The sequence below is a fragment of the Homo sapiens genome, chromosome 20 (assembly GCF_000001405.40).
Source record: "Homo sapiens chromosome 20, GRCh38.p14 Primary Assembly".
Classification (NCBI taxonomy): Eukaryota; Metazoa; Chordata; class Mammalia; order Primates; family Hominidae; genus Homo; species Homo sapiens.
The window spans coordinates 44,522,639-44,536,012 of NC_000020.11; the positions used below are offsets into that span (position 1 = coordinate 44,522,639).

General features: G+C 46.4%; 1 protein-coding gene across 7 annotated transcripts in view, besides 5 other annotated features; it reads left to right on the plus strand.

Annotated features, from left to right (window-relative positions):
- Nucleotides 1,657-2,533: an enhancer, noted in NCBI's record as "NANOG-H3K27ac hESC enhancer chr20:43152936-43153812 (GRCh37/hg19 assembly coordinates)". NCBI's record gives its function as "activates a minimal SCP1, AML or CMV promoter by ChIP-STARR-seq in naive H9 embryonic stem cells {active_cell/tissue: H9 hESC(naive)}" and the evidence as "EXISTENCE:reporter gene assay evidence [ECO:0000049][PMID:30033119]".
- Nucleotides 3,410-4,285: an enhancer, noted in NCBI's record as "NANOG-H3K27ac-H3K4me1 hESC enhancer chr20:43154689-43155564 (GRCh37/hg19 assembly coordinates)". NCBI's record gives its function as "activates a minimal SCP1, AML or CMV promoter by ChIP-STARR-seq in primed H9 embryonic stem cells {active_cell/tissue: H9 hESC(primed)}" and the evidence as "EXISTENCE:reporter gene assay evidence [ECO:0000049][PMID:30033119]".
- Nucleotides 8,826-9,326: an enhancer, noted in NCBI's record as "H3K4me1 hESC enhancer chr20:43160105-43160605 (GRCh37/hg19 assembly coordinates)". NCBI's record gives its function as "activates a minimal SCP1, AML or CMV promoter by ChIP-STARR-seq in naive H9 embryonic stem cells {active_cell/tissue: H9 hESC(naive)}" and the evidence as "EXISTENCE:reporter gene assay evidence [ECO:0000049][PMID:30033119]".
- Nucleotides 8,826-9,564: a biological region, named in NCBI's record as "H3K4me1 hESC enhancer GRCh37_chr20:43160105-43160605".
- Nucleotides 9,225-9,564: a silencer, noted in NCBI's record as "silent region_12942". NCBI's record gives its function as "represses an Ori minimal core promoter by ATAC-STARR-seq in GM12878 lymphoblastoid cells {active_cell/tissue: GM12878}" and the evidence as "EXISTENCE:reporter gene assay evidence [ECO:0000049][PMID:35858748]".
- PKIG (cAMP-dependent protein kinase inhibitor gamma) overlaps nt 9,237-13,374 on the plus strand; it is an 87,163-nt gene continuing 83,025 nt past the window's right edge. For 5 of the 7 annotated variants that reach the window (NM_181805.3, NM_001281444.2, NM_181804.3 and 2 more), the window contains exon 1: nt 9,237-9,340. The gene's annotated coding sequence lies outside the window, so the exon portion shown is untranslated. Of the gene's footprint in view, nt 9,341-9,525; nt 9,763-13,374 lie in introns of those variants that run through there. The other 2 variants (XM_047439850.1, XM_017027615.2) reach the window with 1 other exon arrangement.

Here is a 13,374-nt window from a genome sequence, read left to right on the forward strand (position 1 = left end):
CTAGTTGTTTGAGGCCAGTATGGTATTTAACATTTTTCTAGTATTTATCTCCCTTTCTAACAGAGTAAAGCCTTCATTTTCCAGATCTCTCAAACAGGCAACCATGCCTGCAGTTTTAAAATATTGTTTTGTTTTGAGGTGTGTGTTAGCAATAACCTTTTCATTTCTTCCGAGCAATGCTGATTTCCCATTTAAGCAGTGATGTAAATATTCCTTTCAAAATACATGTCAAATTTGAGAGTTCACTTAAAGAAGAAAATGAAAACATTTTTTACTTACACATATAATAGTTTAGGTGGAATGTGGCAAACAATGATGATGTCCGGACAACAAGGTGTCACACTTCAATATCTTCTCCTGTGGTGTGTTAATCTTCCCTGATAGATAAAACTCTCTGGAAGGGGATTCATAATTGAATTCCTTCTGGATTGTCAGCCTTTAGTCTGATAAGGGAAATTCATGAAAAGCCCCTCTCTCCATGTGCTGTTCCCCAAGCAATCATCATACCAGTGTGGCATATTTGGGGATGTTATTTCCTGGATTCCTTGAAAATGTATTCCAAATTCATCTTTTACAGAAATGGAATGAGGCTCAAAGTTTGCCCAAGGCCATGAAAAGGGCTGATGAAAGAAGAAAGAGAACTACTCACATTTAATAATTCCTACCTCTCTTTTCCCAGATCCCTCTCCTCACCACACATACACAAATACCAGCTCAAGTCAAGTTGCTTCAGGACCACTGAACTTTCCAGGTAGTCCTTAACATTCTTGCTTCTTCCTGTCTGAGTATTGCTGGTCTGGACTTAAGAGAGCTGACTGTGATAAATTTTACAGATCGAATTCTACCAGAAACATACCTGTAGTCAAAAAGAATTAGGTTTATTTAGCTTGTTCAGAAAGGGAGAACACATATCAGAGAAAATATAAGGTGTCTTGGTAAGAGGTGACTGGGGAGAACTTATTTTAGGATTTGGGTTTATGCTGGGTAACTAAATCTAAGGAGAGTTTAAGGAGGAGGAGAACAGTTTTGGATTGGACACAGTCAAGGAGTAGAGGCAATTCAGTGATTAGGTATCTTACAAATTTTTATCCAGAAGGAAGAAGGATTAAAACAAGGCTAGATTAGTCCTTGGAAAAGTGTGATACCCTACCTTGTCTTAACCTGAATTGACTCTCTCTTAGCTGAGGGAGACAGACAAACTCCATTTTGGCTCCTTCACTTGCCGCTCCTTACCCATCCCACTTCCTCAAGGATTTAACTTGTGCAAGCTGACTCCCAGCACATCAAAGAATGCAATTAACTGATAAGATACTGTGGCAAGCGATAGCTGCAGTTTCCAGGAATTCACCCGGTTGATAGTACCCTAAGCCCCTGCATTTTTGTCCGGTTGATGGTACCCAAAGCCCCCACATCTATCACCTTGTGATGGATTTAAAGCCCCTGCACCTGGAACTATTTGTTTTCCTGTAACCATTTGTCTTTTTAACTTTTTTGCCTGTTTTACTTCTGTAAGATTGCCTCAGCTAGGCTCCCCCTCCCCTTTCTAAACCAAAGTATAAAAGAAAATCTAGCCCCTTCTTCGGGGCCGAGAGAATTTTAAGCACTAGCCATCTCTCAGTTGCCGGCTAATAAAGGACTCCTGAATTCGTCTCAGAGTGTGGCGTTTCTCTATAATTCGCTCGGTTACAAAAAAAGAAGCAAAATCCACTCATTTATTAGTCAGAATTGGAAGATGTTGAGTCCTATCTGCGGTACCAGAGTGGCTTTGTCTGTATCTTGATCCAACTACATGGTGGTCTTGTCTGATCTTTGTTTATATTCTGTGATCACTGTTTTTGTTCAGTTAGAAACATTAGGTCTAGCTGTCAGCTGAACAGTTTTTCATTTTCTTACCTGTAAGCATTTGTCCTCCCACATGTAGGATCCCCCCATCTCTTAGTGTTTCTGGCCCTAACTGGTTGAGTGTGTCACTTCTACTTGGCCAAAGCGAGGACAGCAGATCTTTGTGATCATCTACTCCAATTTCCCGCCTCAGGCAGAAACCCCTTAGCAACATCTCTTCTAGGGTAGGGGGCTCACTGCCACCCAAGGCAGCTCCTCCCATCTTTACACATCCATTGTCAAACCTGTCAGGCCTCTGAGCCCAAGCTAAGCCATCATAACCCCGTGACCTTCACATACACATCCAGATGGCCTGTTCCTGCCTTAACTGATGACATTCCACCACGAAAGAAGTGAAAATGCCCTGTTCCTGCCTTAACTGATGACATTACCTTGTGAAATTCCTTCTCCTGGCTCATCCTGGCTCAAAAGCTCCCCCACTGAGCACCTTGTGACCCCCGCCCCTGACCATCAGAGAACAACCCTCTTTGACTGTAACTTTCCTTTACCTACCCAAATCCTATAAAACGGCCCCACCCCTATCTCCCTTCGCTGACTCTCTTTTCGGACTCAGCCCGCCTGCACCCAGGTGAAATAAACAGCCCTGTTGCTCACACAAAGCCTGTTTGGTGGTCTCTTCACACGGACGCGAGTAAAAAAACCTAGGTTATTTCCCCCCATATGTTGTTGAAAAGATAACACATGTACTTGGTTATAACATACTGCATAAAGGAGCACACGGTGAAAATGAAGTGTCCTTCCCACCCTTCCCCCACCCCCATCTCCCAGATCTCCTTTCAGAGTTCCTACAGGAATATGCATATGCCAGCATTATGGCACTTTTTTTTTTTTTTTTTTTTTTGAGACAGAGTCTCGCTCTGTCGCCCAGGCTGGAGTGCAGTGGCACAATCTTGGCTCACTGCAACGTCCGCCTCCTGAGTTCAAGCGATTCTCCTGCCTCAGCCTCCTGAGTAGCTAGGATTACAGGTGCCCACCACCATGCCTGGCTAATTTTTTTTTGTATTTATAGTAGAGACAGGGTTTCACCATGTTGGCCAGGCTCGTCTTGAACTCCTGACCTCAGGTGATCCACCCGCCGCTTTTTTTTCACTTAACTTATTAGTTCATTCGATAAATATTTACCATGCTATTACTATGTGTCAGGCACTGTTGCCAGTGATAAGAAAATAGTAGAGAACAAAACAAAGTGCCCACCCTTAAAAGACCTTATGCTGTAGGGAAAAAAGACAAGCAGCAAACACACACGTATATAATATAACACTCAGACACTGACAAGAGCTGTGAAAAAAGAGAAAGGAGAATACAGAGTTGGTGGGGGTCCATTATTTTCTTTTCTTTTATTTATTTATTTTTTTTTTTTTGAGACAGGGTCTCACTCTGTCACCCAGGCTGGAGTGCAGTGGCATGATCTCACCTCGCTGCAACCTCAGCCTCTTGGGTTGAAGCAATACTCATGCTTCAGCCTCCCCAGTAGCTGGAATTACAGGCACATACCACCATGCCTGGCCAATTTTTGTATTTTTAGTAGAGACAGGGTTTCGCCATGTTAGCCAGGCTGGTCTTGAACACCTGACCTCAAGTGATCCGCGCACCTAGGCCTCCCAAAGTGCTGGGATTACAGGAACGAGCCACTGCGCCCGGCCCTACTATTTTCAAGAGTAGTCTGGGCAGGTCTTTTAGAGGGCTTGACACTGGAGCACAGACATGAGGGAACCGAGGAAGCAAGCCATAAAGATACCTGGAGGAAGAGCAGGAGAAAATGCCCTGAGATGAAAGCATGCTTTAAGGCAGGAAAACAGAGTCTGGAGTCGGGGAACAAAAGGCTGATTCACACTTCAGCTATGACAGGAAATATCCTCTCCATAGGGTGTAGGCCAAGTAAATGACTTTGTAACTTTACTTCATCCTTTTCATTTACATAGGGCGTGTCCCAAGTAGAGGGTATTTAAACTCCCAAAAATTCTGTAACAGGGGCCCTTGAGCTCCTATGCTTGGGCCCCCTCCCACACTGCGGAGTGAATTGGTGAGATGGAGTCTTGCTCTGTGGCCCGGGCTGGAGTACACTGGCTCAAACTCGGCTCACTGCAACCTCCACCTCCCAGGTTCAAGCAATTCTCCTGCCTCAGCCTCCTGAGTAGCTAGGATTACAGGTGTGCACCACCATGCCCAGCCACTTTTTGTATTTTTAGTGGAGACGGGGTTTCACCATGTTGGCCAGGCTGGTCTCGAACTCCTGACCTCGTGATCCGCGCGCCTCGGCCTCCCAAAGTGCTGGGATTACAGGCGTGAACCACCGCGCCCAGCCCATACTTTCATTTTCAATAAATTCCTTCATTCCTTCTTGCTTTGTGTGTTGTGTCCAATTCTTTGTTCAAGATGCCAAGAACCTGGACACCCTCCAATGGTGACAGCTGAGAGGGAAAATGGTGAGAGATGAGGCTGGACAAGTATTCAGGGGGCAGTTCACTTCCAGCCTTGTTGATGGTGACAACAACTCTACATCTTATTCTAAATGTAATGGGGAAACAGTTGAAAGCTTTTGAGCAGGTGAGGGACATGGTCATGCTTACTTTTTTTTTTTTAAGCTGGAGTTTCAAAAAAAAGCCTTCAGCCACCGCGCCAATCATGTTTACATTTTATTTTATTTATTGTTTTGAGACGGAGTCTCACTCTGTCACCAGGCTGGAGTGCAGTGGCGTGATCTCGGCTCACTGCAACCTCGGCCTCCCAGGTTCAAGCAATTCTCCTGCCTCAGCCTCCCGAGTAGCTGGACTACAGGCGCACGCCACCACGCCCAGCTAATTTTTGTATTTTTAGTGGAGACATGGTTTCACTATGTTGGCCAGGATGGTCTTGTACTCTTGACCTCGTGATCCACGTGCCTTGGCCTCCCAAAGTGTTGGGATTACAGGCATAAGCCACTGCGCCCGGCCGTGTTTACCTTTCAAAAGGATCATTCTGGCTGCTGGTTGGAATAAAGACTGGAGCAGGGATGGGTTAGGGTTGAGGGTTATAGTAGAAGCAATGGCGGGACTAGTTCGGAGACTGTTGCCGTATACATAGCTGAAACTGCCTTTGCAAAATTATGACGGAGACAGTGAAAAAGATCTAACTTCATCTTCGTTCTAACCTTTAACCTGTCCTTGTTCCTTCCTGGGTGTAGGCTGAACTAACTTTGGGAGGAACTTAGTTTATAGTTTAAAACAAAGATGATAACAGCCCCTTCCCAAAACAAACCTTCCTCTTGCCTGGGTACTAGACTGCCTTTGTAGGACTAACAAATTAGCCACAAGATTAGAAATTATGGCTTAGGAGTCATGCAGCTGGAGGCTACAAGATTCTGACCCTCCCTGAACTTCTGCTAAGATCAGCGCTTGAGATATTTTCCAGACCCTGAACTTGATGGATCAGCTGGCACCACACAGATTGATAAAGTGGCTCATCTGATCTTGTGGCCCGCACCCAGGAACTCAGTGCAAGAGGACAGCTTCAGCTTCCCATGATTTCATCTCCTACCTGACCAATCAGCACTCCTTGCTCACTGGCTTCCCCCCACCCACCAAGTTAACCTTAAAAACTCTGATCCCCAGCCTGGAGCGGTGGCTCATGCCTGTAATCCTGGTACCTTGGGAGGCTGAGGCGGGTGGATCACTTGAGGCCAGGAGTTCTAGTCCAGCCTGGCCAATATGGTGAAACCCCCGTCTGTACTAAAAAAAATACAAAAAATTAGCCAGGCATGGTGGTGCATGCCTTGTAGTCCCAGCTACTCTGGAGACTGAGGCAGGAGAATCACTTGAACTGGGGAGGCAGAGGCTGCAGGGAGTGGAGATTGTGCCATTGCACTCCAGCCTGGGCAACAGACTCCGTCTCAAAACAAACAAACAAACAAACAAAAAACTCTGATCCCCAAATGCTCAGGGAGGCTGATTTGAGCAATAATAAAGCTCCGGTCTCCCACACAGCCGGCTCTGTGTGAATTACTCTTTCTCTGTTGCAACTCCCCTGTCTTGATAAGTCAGCTCTGTCTAGGTAGCAGGCGAGGTAAACCCCCTGGCTGGTTACACAGCTTGAAGACAGCTCTGTATCTAAACTGTATCTACGTCTATATCTACCTTGGTCCCTCTTAATTCTTGCTACGGTAATCTATTTTATTTTATGGATGTATCATAATTTATTTCCTCAGTTCCCTAAGGATAGACTTTTTTTTTCGTTTGAGACAGAGTCTCGCTCTGTCGTCCAGGCTGGGGTGCAGGGGCGTGATCTCCGCTCACTGCAGCCTCTGCCTCTCGGGTTTAAGCAATTCTCCTGCCTCAGCCTCCCAAGTAGCTGGGACTACAGGAGCGCGCTGCCACGTCTGGCTAATTTTTGTATTTTTAGTAGAGATGGTGTTTCACCACGTTGGCCAGGACGGTCTTGGTCTCCTGACCTCATGATCCGCCTGCCTCGGCCTCCCAAAGTGCTGGGATTACAGGCGTGAGCCACCGTGGCTGGCTTTTTTTTTTTTTTTTGAGACAGGGTGTCCCTCTGTCACTCAGGCTGGAGTGCAATGGCACAGTCTCTGCTGACTTCAACCTCCGCCTGTCGGGCTCAAGGGATCCTCCCACCTCAGCCTCCTGAGTAGCTGGGACTACATACAGGTGCACACCACCACACCTGGCTAATTTTTTAATTTTTTGTAGAAGTGAGGTCTCACTATGTTGCCCAGGCTGGTCTTGAACTCCTGGGCTCAAGCAATCTGCCTGCCTCAGCCTACCAAAGTGCTGGACTGCCCAAGGGGTTCACCTTGCACGCTGCCTAGACAGAGCTGATTAATCAAGAAGGGGGAATTGCGACAGAGAAAGTAATTCACACAAAGCCTGCTGTGCGGGAGCCCAGAGTTTTGTTATTACTCAAATCATCCTCCCGAAAACTCAAGGATCAGAGTTTTTAAGGATAATTTGGTGGGTAGGGGGCCAATGAATTGGGAGTGCTGATTGCTTGGCTGGGGGATGAAATTGCAGAGAGTCGCTGGGCGCGGTGGCTCATGCCTGTAATCCCAGCACTTTGGGAGGCCGAGGCGGGTGGATCACGAGGTCAGGAGATGGAGACCATCCTGGCTAACACGGTGAAACCTCATCTCTACTAAAAATACAAAAAAACTAGCTGGGCGTGGTGGCGGGTGCCTGTAGTCCCAGCTACTCGGGAGGCTGAGGCAAGAGAATGGCGTGACCCCAGGAGGTGGAGCTTGCAGTGAGCCAAGATCGCGCCACTGCACTCCAGCCTGGGTGACAGAGCGAGATTCCTTCTCAAAAAAACAAAACAAACAAACAAAAAAACCAGAAATTGCAGAGAGTCAAAGCTGTTTTCTTCTGCTGAGTCAGTTCCTGGATGAGGGCCACAGAACTGGTTGGCAGGTCCAGTGGGGCCATCTGGTTGTTAGAAATGCAAAAACCTGAAAAGACATCTCAAAAGGCTGATCTTAGGTTCACAATAGCGATTTTACCTCAAGAGTAATTGGGGGCCAGGCACAGTGGCTTACGTCTGTGATCCCAGCACTTTGGGAAGCTGAGGCAGGCAGATCACTTGAGGTCAGGAGTTCAAGACCAGCCTGGCCAACATGGCAAAACCCCGTCTCTACTAAAAATACAAAAATTAGCTGGCGTGGTGGCAGGTCCCTGTAATCCCAGCTACTGTGGAGGCTGAGGCATGATAATTGCTTGAACCTGTGAGGCAGAGGTTGCAATAAGCCAAGATTGTGCCACTGCACTCCAGCCTGGGTGACAGAGCAAGACTCTGTCTCAAAAAAACAAAACAAAAAAATCTTATGACCTCTAGAATAAGAATAATGGTGGGTACTATTTAGAACTCCAGCCCTTCTCATCTTGGCTTGGTGGCTGGTGGCCTGTGGCCTTTCATTTGTTTTACAAGAACAGTTTAGCTTTCTGGAAAGGGCTATTGTTTAAATGATACACTAAATTCCTTCCCAAGGCTAGTTTGGCCTGGCTTGGCATGGTGGCTCACACCTACAATCCCAGCACTTTGGGAGGCCGAGGCGGGAGGATCACCTGACCAACATGGAGAAACCCTGTCTCTACTAAAAATACAAAAAATTAGCTGGGCGTGGTGGTGCATGCCTGTAATCCCAGCTACTCAGGAGGCTGAGGCAGGAGAATCACTTGAACTCAGGAGGCGGACATTGTGGTGAGCCAAGTTGGCGCCATTGCACTCCAGCCTGGGCAACAAGAGCGAAACTCCGTCTCAAAAAAAAAAACAAAAAACAAAAAAACAAAAAAAACTGGTTTAGCCTATACCCAGGAATGAACAGGACACTTTAGAGGTTAGAAGCAAGATGGGGTCAGTTAGGTCTGATATCTCAGTTATGATTTTTTGCAAAGGTGGTTTCAGGATGACAGGTGTGAGCCATTGCGCCCAGCCCCTGATAGATATTTAGACTGGTCGCAACCCTTTTGCTTTTACAAAAATGAATTAATGAATATATCCTTTGTGCTCAGGTTTCAGCATATCTGCAGAGTTATTCCAAGAAGTGTAGTTGCTAGACACAAGGAAAAATAAATTATTCCTCATATTGAAATTAAATCTGGTGATCTAATTCTCCATCAAAGAAACCAATTTATTCACTCTTTGCCACACCACCCCTTCAGAGACTATAAAAGAGAGGAATCTGCCACCCTTCCCACATCAGTTTTCTTGTCTTTAAATATTCCCAGTCTTGGCAGGGAGTGGTGGCTCACGCCTGTAATCCCACCATGCTGGTAGGCCCAGGCGGATGGATCAGCTGAGGTCGGAGTTCGAGACCAGCCTGGTCAACATGGCGAAACCTCGTCTCTACTAAAAATACAAAAATTAGCCAGGCGTGGTGGCACCTTCCGGTAATCCCAGCTACTCGGGAGGCTGAGGCATGAGAATCGCTCAAACCCAGGGGGCAGAGGTTGCAGTGAACCGAGATTGCGCCACTGCACTCCAGCCTGGGCGACAGAGTGAGATTCTGTCTCAAAACAAAAACAAAAACAAAATAACAAAAACCCAGTCTACCAAGCCACCACCTGAGGCCCTGTCTCCTCCTCGCACGGTCCCCATTTGAGGTTACAGAGAGATAAACTGAGGCACAAGCAGCACCCGCGGCCCAAGACCTCCCCTTGGCCTCACTGTCCCCCTTTCCGTATCTTCCCCGGGCCAAGTTCCAACCCGGATCCCTCCTTCGCAGCTCAGCCCTCGACTCCCACTTCGTCCCTCCTCTGCCCCCTCCGCGGCTGCGGAAGGGGACGCGAACCGTCCTGGTCCCATCCGAGCCGCCGTAGCGCGAGTGCCGCGGGAGTTCGGCAGCCCAGGTCGCCAAGGCAACGGGCTCCGCTGCGGGTTGCGGGCTGCGGGCGCTAGGCTGCCCCGGGGAGGCGCTGCGGACCGGCGGCCCAGGCACGGAGAGGCGGCGAGACCGCAGGTGAGCAGGAGCCGGGCGGCCGGTTGCGGCCCCAACGCTCCGGGCCTGGCGTCGACACGTCGCAGGGGGCGAGGGGCTGAGCCGCCGGGGATCCCGGGGAGGGAGGCTGCGGCCCGATCTTTGTCCCTCAGCCGCGCCGGGGACGGCGCCCCCGACGCCCTTTGACCCCGCCCCGCGTTCAGGGAGAGTCCGTTTTCGGCTGTTTATTATATTTGTAGCCATTGGTCGACCTCATTCGAAAGTTTCTTAAAAAAAAAATCCCTTCTTGTTTGGGGGCCAGAAAATAACTCAAAACTGTGCAGAAAATTTATTTGTGTGTGTGACTCTTCTGGGGCCAGAGAGGATTGACTTCTTTGTGCGTCAGTTTTATCGTCTGCAAAATGGGAATCATGGTAGCACCTGTCTGATGACGTTATTACAAGGTAAATTTATATTTAAAATTCGTGGAGGTAAGCCCTCAATACATGGGAGCTTTTATTATTACTACTACTACAAGGAGGACCATCACTGAGCATTTATTGTGAGCCACGGCCCGGGCTGATAGCCAGGGTAAAAAAGTGAACGAGAGACATCGTGTCCTGAGGGAACTCCACAGTTTTCCGGAGGAGACAGACTCGTAAACAAGAATTCACAGTGATTCCGGTTATGATTTTGGACATACAGGGGGGCTGTGAATGCACAGAGAAAACAGTTAACCTGGATTTCTGGAGGTGAGGTTAGTGTGGATGATCAGGGAGAGATGCCAAAAGAAGGTGACTTCCAAAATGAGACATGAAGGCTGTCTTTATGTTGGCCAGAAGATGAGGCTGGTGGAGTGTACCTTGCTGTGGGTAGATAAAGCAGGTAGAGAAAGTAGGTAGAGAAAAGCCTTGGGGAGAGAGTGCAGACTTCTTGGGAATCTGCAAGGATTTCAGGCTAGCTGGAGAGCAGATTATGAGAGTTGGAGGGGGTCTGGCTAGATGGTGTTTGAGAGACAAGCAGGTGCTCCTCCTGAAAGACTGTAAGTGTGGAGGAGTTTGGGCTTTGTGTTGGGGGCAGTGGGAAGCCATCAAAGGGTTTTAAGCCGGAGGTGTGTGTCTTTGATCAGAGGTATAGTTTCAGAAAGATCAGTTTTTTGTGTTTCTCTCTTGGTCTTATCATTCCTCCCATCTGTTTTTCACTTTGCAGGCATTCATTTGTGGTGATTCATATATATGTGTGTGTGTGACAGTGTGTGCGTGTATGTATTTATTGTTGAGATGAGGTCTCACTATGTTGCCCAGGCTGGTCTCAGATTCCTGGGCTCAAGTGATCCTCCTGTCTCAGCCTCCCAAGCAGCTGGGACTGCAGGTGCACACCACTGCACCTGGCTAATTCAAAAAATATTTAATGAGCATCTTCTTCTATGTGCAAGGCACTGTGTAGGTAGTAAGGAAGCAGGTCCCTGCCCTCAAGGAGATCACAGATTGGTGGAGAAAATATTCATCAAACAAGTGATTATAATTGTGATGAGAATTGTGAAAGGGGGCGCATGTTAAGATCAATCTAGCATAGTTTGGAGATTCAGGTAGAGTTTTGATAAAATGTATGGAGGGTGTAGTCTGAGTTAGCTATCGTGGGGATGTTCCAAACATTTTCAAAAGTACATTCATGGAGCCAAAAGCAGTCCACTACAACTGGAACTTAAAGATCAATATTGAAAGAGATCCATCCAGAGAGGTTGACAAAAAAAAAAAGGCTGAGATTATTCAGGGCTACTGCATTGCATACTCTTGGAAGAATGAGCCATGCACTTAGTCTACACTAAAAGAAATGGCTAGAGAAACAGGAACAGGAGAGAAACCAGCAAAGTATAGTAATGAAGGCCAAAGGGAGAGGTTGGTTGGCCTTTGTAGATGTTGCTGAGATGTCGAGTAATACAAGTTAAAAATTAAAATGTGTCCTTTTGGGTAAATAAATATGGAGGTCGGTTGGGACCTCATTGAGCAGATTTGGTGAAATGGTTGGGGCGGAATCTATAATATCAGCAGCTTTCAAAGGTTCAATATAATATATCAGTGGGATGAGTTAAGAGTGGGATGTGAGAAAGACAAAGTGTAGGCAGCTCAGAGAAGTTTGGCTGCGAAGGGAGGTAGAGAGAAGGCTGAGGAGCGATTGGGGAATAGGTGAAGTTTTTTTGAGCATGAGAGAGATTAAATGCTGTTGGCAAAGAGCCAGTGGAGAGAGAGAAAGGCTGAGAAGACACAGGATATGAAAGGGAGAATTGATAGTATAACTTTCCTGAGAAGGTGGGAGTGGAGGAGCTCCACAGTACAGATCCTTCAATAGGAGTCTGATGCCTGTTACTTTTTGGAGACGTGGGAAGCCAGGTTATTCCTGAAAGGAGTGCACCAGTGTAATGCAACAAAAATAAATAAAGGTATAAGTGTGGAAGGAAAGTCACAATTTTCATTGTCGGCAGATAGCAGGCATTTATTGAACTAGTATTGTGTTAAGTACTTTTCATGCACCATTCTTTTTTTTTTTTTTGGGACAGGGTATCACTCTGTCGCCCATGCTGGAGTGTAGTGGTGCAATCTTGGCTCACTGCAGCCTCTGCCTCCTGTGCTCAAGCGATCCACCTGCCTCAGCCCCCCAAGTAGCTGGGAATACAGGTGCGAGCCACCACACTCAGCTAATTTTTGTATTTTTAGTAGAGATGAGGTTTTGCCATGTTGACCAGGCTGGTCTCGAACTCCAGACCTCAAGTGATCCACCCGCATCGGCCTCCCAAGATGCTAGGATTACAGGCATGAGCCACTGCGCCCGGCCTCATGCACCGTTCTTAATGAATAATGTGATGTTTACAACAACCCTGTGAGATAGGCCCTCTAATAATTGCAAATTTATGGATAAAGAAACTGAGGTAACATGCTCACTCAGGGTCACACAGTATTTGAATCTAGGTTTACCTGAACCCAGAGCTTTTACTCTTAACCACTACCTGGATGATATAAATCTCTACCTGTGATATGATTGTCTGCTGAGAAAATTCAAGAGAATTAAACTAAAAATACTTAGATATAATAAGGCTAAGTGAACAGCAGTTATAAGATAGACAAAAAGCAATAGCTTTATGCAAACAAAAATAGAAAATGTAATTGTAGGAGAACTGACAATAGCAACATGAAAAATAAATACTTAGAAATAAACTTAAAAATACATGTACCCAGCTTAGCCACACAGAGTAAGAGTTGGCTGGGCATGGGGATGGGATGACAGGATGAGTAAGGTAAAGTAGTTTTCCCATGGGAACATCAGAGTATTGATACTGGAGAAGGGGTAGGTTAAAAAAAAAACAGGTGTCTATCATAAGACATCATGAGATATTGACTATCATGTTTTTATAAAATTGAAAAATTGGCCTGGCACGGTGGCTTACGCCTGTAATCCCAGCACTTTGGGAGGCCAAGGCGGGCAGATTATCTGAGGTGAGGAGTTTGAGACTAGCCTGGTCAACATGGTGAAACCCCATCTCTGCTAAAAATACAAAAATTAGCTGGGTGTAGTGGTGCACGCCTGTAGTCCCAGCTACTTGGGAAACTGAGGCAGGAGATTCTCTTCAACCTGGGAGGCAGAGGTTGCAGTGAGCTGAGATTGTACCATTGCACTCCAGCCTGGGTGACAAGAGCAAAACTCCATCTCAAAAAAAAGGACAGTTAGGTGGGAGCTATATATATTAGAAAGATGTTTACATTATGTGGTTAGGTGTAAAAAGCAGATTACGGTACAGTATGTTACTGTTTTCTTAAATGTATACATGTTTATAATAAAAATGTCTGGAAATACTAGTTCTTTTTAAAAATGTTAAATCTTTAATTGTGATAAAATTTACCATCTTAACGATTTTTAAGTTTACAGTTTTGTAGTATTAAGTGTATTCATGCTGTGCAACCAATCTGCATGACTTTTTCATCTTGCAAAAGTGCAAAAGCCAAACTATACCTTTAATAGGTTTAGCTCCCCATTTCCGCCTCCCCACCAGCCCTTGGCAGCACCCATTCTACTTTTGTTTT